The 6672-nt window shown below is 40.7% G+C and overlaps 1 long non-coding RNA gene across 3 annotated transcripts; it reads right to left on the bottom strand.

Annotated features, from left to right (window-relative positions):
* Positions 1-708: 708 nt before the first annotated feature.
* LOC105375980 (uncharacterized) lies at positions 709-6603 on the bottom strand. 3 transcript variants are annotated; one of them, XR_929491.3, is made up of 5 exons: positions 6557-6603; positions 5937-6162; positions 3636-3753; positions 2708-2748; positions 709-1364 (listed from the first exon to the last, which is right to left on the bottom strand). It is a non-coding gene; the product is annotated as an uncharacterized LOC105375980 (long non-coding RNA). The 3 variants fall into 3 exon arrangements; XR_007061422.1 differs by adding an exon at positions 4394-4660 and having other exon boundaries at positions 5937-6603; XR_929488.4 differs by having other exon boundaries at positions 5937-6603.
* Positions 6604-6672: the final 69 nt, after the last annotated feature.

Consider the following 6672-nt stretch of genomic DNA (forward strand, 5'->3'; position numbering starts at 1 on the left):
TTCTGCTTCCACACAGATCATTTTTCCACATAAGCTCACTAGCATCATCCCCAATGAAGACATAGATTTAAAAGTATATTGATGACAATTGTGTCACCACAGATTTGACAAAAAAGGAAAAATAACACAAACAAATATAATTTTCTCCCCAAGCAAAGCCAGCAACCTGATACAAAGCTTTGGACATATTATGGCTTAATTCCAGGGAGACTGGCAATTTTTAAAATTATTTTATTTTATTTTATTTTTTCTAATAAAACTGATATCCCTCTAGTTTTTTCTTTCTTTCTTTTGAGACAGGGTCTCACTCTGTCACCCAGGCTGGAGTGCAATGGCACAGTTTTGACTCACTGCAACCTTTGCCTCCTGGGCTCAAGCAATCCTCCCACCTAGGCCTCCTGAGTAGCTGGGACCACAGGCATGTGCTACCACGCCCAGATAATTTTTGTATTTTTAGTAGAGACAGGGTGTTGCCATGTTGCCCAAGCTGGTCTCAAACTCCTAAGCTCAGGCAATCCACCTGCCTCGGCCTCCCAAAGTGCTGGGACTACAGGCGTGAACCACTGCACCCAACCACCTTCTAATTTTTTCTTTGTTTCACTGAGAAACTTAAAAAAAAATGTCTTTCAAAGATACAAATCTCAAAAGAGGATATTATTTATGTCCAACTCACTAGAGGAAAATAAAACATCGGGAGGCTAAAAATTCTGCAATTTCAAACCATTCCCAGTGAATTTTATTTGAAAATTTCCCAGCAACCATAAAGACATGAGAAAAGCTCCAATTAGCCATAGTGGATAAGAAGGTAAGTTATCTTCCCAAAGTAGTGACAAAGAGATCCCCAATCAACTTAAAGAGGGCAGCAGAAAATAACTAAACATTGCATATCCTTATTTCCTCTTTTACTGGCCATTTTGAAAATGAGGGACCCACAGTTTTGTCCACTCTCTTGATTAAAGGGAGGTTCAGAGGATACCGTAAAACCTATGTATCCCGGTGGGACGTGGTGGCTCACGCCTGTAATCTCAGCATTTGGAAGGCTGAGATGGGAGGATGGTTTGAGCCCAGAAGTTTGAGGCCAGTCTGGGCAACATGGTGAGACACTGCCTCTATTGAAAAAAAAAAAAAAAAAGATGCATCCTTTAGATACAAATTTCCTAAGTTAATTAAACTAGGATTAAAAATGCAAGTGGCTCTGTGAACTACAGATCTTATTCAATCTGGCTGATTGCTAGAGAGATAGTATTGCATAGTGTTGAAAGTACTCTGAAATGATAGACTATTCAGGTTTGAATCTTACCTCCAGTGCTTGCTGTGTGACTTTGGACAATTCACTTAACCTCTTTGAATGTTAGCTGCGTTATCTGTAAAATGGAGTAGAAATAGAAATTACCTCACAGGACTGTTATGATGCTTAAATGAGTTAGTCTTAAGCAAAGCACTTAGTACTATTGTGGTTTATTCAAAAATGCTCAACATCCTTAGGTATCACAGAAATGCAAATTAAAACCACAATGAGACAGTACCTGACACCTGTTACAATAGCAATAGACATTATCAAAGATAACAAGGGTTGGTGAGAATGTAAGAAAAAGGGAACCCTTGTACACTGTTGGTGGGAGTGTAAATTAACACAGCCATTATGAAAAACAGTATGGAGGCTCCTCAAAAAACTAAAAATAGAACTACTATATGATCCAGCAATTGCACTCCTGAGTATGTATACAAAGGAATTGCAATCAACATGTTAAAGAGATATCTGGGCATCTATGTTCATTGCAGCATTATTCATAATAGCCAACCTAAGTGTCCGTCAACAGATGAATGGATAATGTGGTACACATACAATGGAATACTATTCCGTCTTAAAAAAGGAAATTCTGTCATCATTGACAGTGTAGATGAAACTAGAGAATATTATGCTAAGTGAAATAAGCCAGTCACAGAGAGACAAATACTGCATAATCTCACTTATATGTGGAATCTAAAAAAGTTGAACTTATAGAAGTAAAGAGTAGGATGGTGGTTACCAGAGGCTGGGGGCTGGAAGTGGGTACTGCAGAGATATTGATCAAAGGGTACAAAGTTTTAGTTAGACAGAAGGAATAAGTTTTTCAGATCTATTGCACCACATAGTGTCCATAGTTAATAAAATGTATTACATATTTCAACATTGTTAGAAGAGATTTGAAATGTTCTCACTCCAAAAAATAATAGGTATTTGATGTGATGAATATGTAAATTAGTTTGATATAATCATTCCACAGTGTATACATATATCAAAACATCACATTGTATTCTATAAGTATACACAATTATCTGCAAATTAAAAATAAATATTAAAAAAGAATAGTACTGTTGCATAGTAAGTACTAGATATAAAACATTTATTAATAATAACTTTGTTTCAAAATGACAGACACTGATAACCTGAAGAAGTATACCAAATTTGGTCAACTCTACCCATTCCTTCAAAATCACTGTGGAGCAAACATACGAGCAGGCTAAAAGACATTAAATGTCAAATGTTTGAATTAAAAATTTCATTCACATTCTACAAAAGATGGTTACAAAATTATTATTCAGAGCAAAGTTTTAGTTCTGAACTTGAAATTGTGTATAATAAATGCAGTTTTACAGGTTACAACTGCAAACCTAGTGCTACTCAACTGAAAAATAGCAATAATAAATACTCCAGTTAACATACCTTGAAAACATCCACTTTCCTCCACTCCTTAAGAAGCCTCACTAAAACAAAGATAAAGAATGTTAAAAAGGGGGAAAGAGGGACCATATACTCATAAGAACAAAGAAAACAGGAGAAGAGACAACAGAAAAATGCCACAAAAGTTTAGAAATCAGTTGACGAGGGTTGAGTTGCATCCTCCCAAAGGATACATTGACTGTGACCTTATTTGGAAATAGGGTCTGTGCGGATGTGATCAAAATAAGATAAAGTGACGGCCGGGTGTGGTGGCTCACGCCTGTAATCCCAGCACTATGGGAGGCCAAAGTGGGTGGATCGCTTGAGGTCAGGAGTTCAAGACCAGACTGACCAACATGGTGAAACCCTGTCTCTACTAAAAACACAAAAATTAGCTGAGCATGGTGGTGTGCGCCTGCAGTCCCAGCTACTCAGGAGGCTGAGGCAGGAGAATTGCTTGAACCTGGGAGGCAGAGGTTGCAGTCAGCTGAGATGGCACCACTGCACTCCAGCCTGAGCGACAGAGCGAGACTCCGTCTCAAAAAAATAAAAATAAAAAAAATAATAAAACCATAAAAGTGATACTTGATTAGCATGGGCCCTAATCTAATGACTGCCGTCCTTACAAAAAGAGAGAAAGTTAGACACAGGCAGATGCACAGGGAGAACACGTAATGACAGAGGCAGAGAGTGGAGTGATTCATCTGCAAGCCAAGGAATGCCAAGAATTGCCAGCAGTCACCAGAAGCTAAGGCAAAGGCATGGCACAGATTGTCCCTCAGAGACCCCAGAAGGAACCAACCTCCTGATTTCTGATTTCTAGCCTCCATAACTGTAAGGGAATAAATTTCCATAGTTTTAAGCCACCCAGTTTGTGGTAATTGTATGGCAGCTTTAGGGAGCTAATGTACTGGTGAACATACGGACTTACCAGAGAAAACTGAAACCCAAGTGTTTTCGGAGGTGATGCCCGGAAGCAAGCTTACTGACACGCAGAACCTCACAAAGGCTCAGGAATTGGAAGTGCCATAGCTCTTCAGTGGGATGAGCTGAAAAGAGACCATTAAAAGTCCCAGAAGCAGTTAAGACTCCTAGATTTCCTCCCCTGGCAAAGTCAGGGAAACTTTCTCTAACCCTCATTCCCAACCTGAAACCTGCAAGATTATTTCTTTTGGGAGATATGGAACCAGGATATGGATTCAGGGACACCAGACACAGCTGAAGGTAAAAATGCTATTATGAAACAGTGCTGTAAGTGAAGGTATGCATGATAATTAGGTCTTTTTTTTTTTTTTTTAGACAGAGTCTCACTCTGTCACCCAGGCTGGAGTGCAGTGGTGCAATCTCAGCTCACTGTAACCTCCACCTCCCAGGTTCAAGTGATTCTTGTACCTTAGCCTCCCGAGTAGCTGGGACTACAGGCACGTGCTACCAAGCCTGGCTAATTTTTGTGTTTTAAGTAAAGACTGGGTTTCACCATGTTGGCCAGGCTGGTCTCAAACTCCCGACCTCAAGTGATCCACCCTCCTTGGCCTCCCAAAGTGCCGAGATTACAGGCATGAGTCACCATGCTCGGTGGAGAGTTAATTTTATGTGTCAACTTGACTGGACCACAGGATGCCCAGATATCTGGTTAAACAATATTTCTGAGTGTCTGTGAGGGCCCTGAGTAAAAGAGATTACCCTCACCAATGTGGGTGGGCATCATCCATTTCGGGTCTGAATAAAACAAAAAGGTAGAGGAAGGGAGGATTCACTTTCTCTCTGCTAGACTTCTTGAACTGAATTTTTGATCTTTTCCTGCCCTCGGTGATCCTGGTTTGCAGGACTCCAAACTCGGACTGGAATCTACACCATCTCCAGTTATCAGGGCTTTAAACTACAACATGGGCTTTCTGGGTCTTCAGCTTACAGACAGCAGATTGTGGGGCTTCTCAACCCCCATAATCACATGAGCTAATAGATAGATAGAGATATAGGTATAGATATAGATATCTATTCATTCTCTGTTTCTCTGGAGAACCCCAACTAACACAGGGCATCAGTGCATATAATGAAATTACTAAGTCTCCCAAACTCTTTCCCGCATTGGGCTCCAAGAAGGCTATATATTCTCAAAGCAAGTAATTAGAAGATTACTCTCTAGAAGAAAATAAACAGCTGGTCCTTGCCCCACCATCTTACACCTTGTCCCACCATCTTACACCTTGCCCCACCATCTTACACCTTGCCCCACCATCTTACACCTTGTCCAGCAGTGAACAAGCCTTGCCTATGTCCCCAAAGCACCTTTTTAGAGCATCACTTTTACATATAAATTGACAGCAGGGATCACTACACAAGATGAAGAACGCCTCTAGCAGAAACGACAGGGACCAAATATAAACAAACAAACAACCAAAAAAAACTCAAAGAATCAAAATCAATGCAGAGTTATGTAGAAAGTATTTTAAAACTCCTATAATTTACATCTTCAGAGAGTAAAGGAGGTATATTCATGAAACAATAATGTAATGCTATAAAAGAACAGAGAATAAAAAGGGCACTTAGAAATGAAGGTATAATAAAAGAAATAAAGTAATCTGATAATCATTTGTCCAATTAAGTTGAAAAAGTCACAGAGAAAGTAGAATAAAAAGATGAAGGGATAGAAAATAGGACAGACAGGTAAGAAAAAACATCAGCCAAGAAGGTCCACGATCTAAATAACAAATTTCAAAAAATAAGAGATAAAATAAGAGAGGGCGGAAAGAAACGATCAAATAAATAATACCAGGAGAATCCCCATAACGGAAGAACATGTGTTTCAGGATTGAAAAACTGATCAATAGGAATGAGAAAAGACCCATAAGAAAGACACTCGATTGTGTCTTAGAACGCTGGGTATAAAGAGAAGATCCTAAAGCTTCTTGAGACAAAACAAAACCGAAACCAAAGCGGGTTACATAACAAGAAATTTAGTGACCTGAGAAGGAGAAGGAAATGCAATGACGTAGAGTTTCTCAACAATTTTGGAAGCTAAAATATTGTGGAGCAAGCCCTCCAATATTCCGAGTGAAAGTTATTTTCAACCTAGAACTCAGCCAGAATAAAAACAGTTCCAGACCTGCACGCTCTGTGGGAAAAAAGACCTGGAAGCAACCTCCCTCAAGGAACTATTGGCGGATATGTTCCACAACATGAGGCTATATAATCAAGAAAAAGACACAGACTCAGGAAATAGGGAACTCACCTCAGGAATGAGGAATAAGACCTTCCCAGGATGGATGTGAAGGAGACCCAGGACATCAGTTGAGAGCTGTGCCTTCCAAATTTTGATGTGCATAGGAATTACCAGGGGATCTTGTTGCAATGCAGACACTGATTCAGTAAGTCTGGGTAGGGCTTGAGATTTCGCGTTTTTAACAAATTCCCTCAGGATGCTGAGGCTGCTGGTTCAGGGACTACACTTTGCATAACTGGGGTGTAGAGAAAAAATAGTCCGAACTGTACCAAGAAGACGATGGTACAGAGACAGAGACAGACAGACACTTATTTCCTTCTGGGAGATCATCGGGAATGAATTAGTGTAAGTCAATAACTGTATAGTAGGGGAGGGAGAGGGATGGAGGAGAGGGAGAAAAGGATTAATGTTTTAAGTAAACACAAATGAAGAAAAAACAAGGAAGGGGCTGTACTGAGGGCAGCCGCATACATCCAACCTTGCCTCTAGTAGACACCTGAAGAGGAAGGTTGGACCACCCTAACGGATTCAGATTCAGTAGTCTGGGGGGGTCTCTGGAGTGACCCTGGAAGATGCTCCAAAAAGCCTAGAAGCGGACCACAAGGACAGAAGACGCCCCTTCCCCATACCCAGCAAGGGAGTAAGCCGGGCCTCAAAGCGCCCGGCGCCAGGTCTCAGGGGGCGGGGCATGGGCGGAGCCTTTTCCCTAAATTGGCGCGCCCGAGCGGCGCTGGGATTCGCATTG

Source organism: Homo sapiens, chromosome 9 (assembly GCF_000001405.40).
Source record: "Homo sapiens chromosome 9, GRCh38.p14 Primary Assembly".
Lineage (NCBI taxonomy): Eukaryota > Metazoa > Chordata > Mammalia > Primates > Hominidae > Homo > Homo sapiens.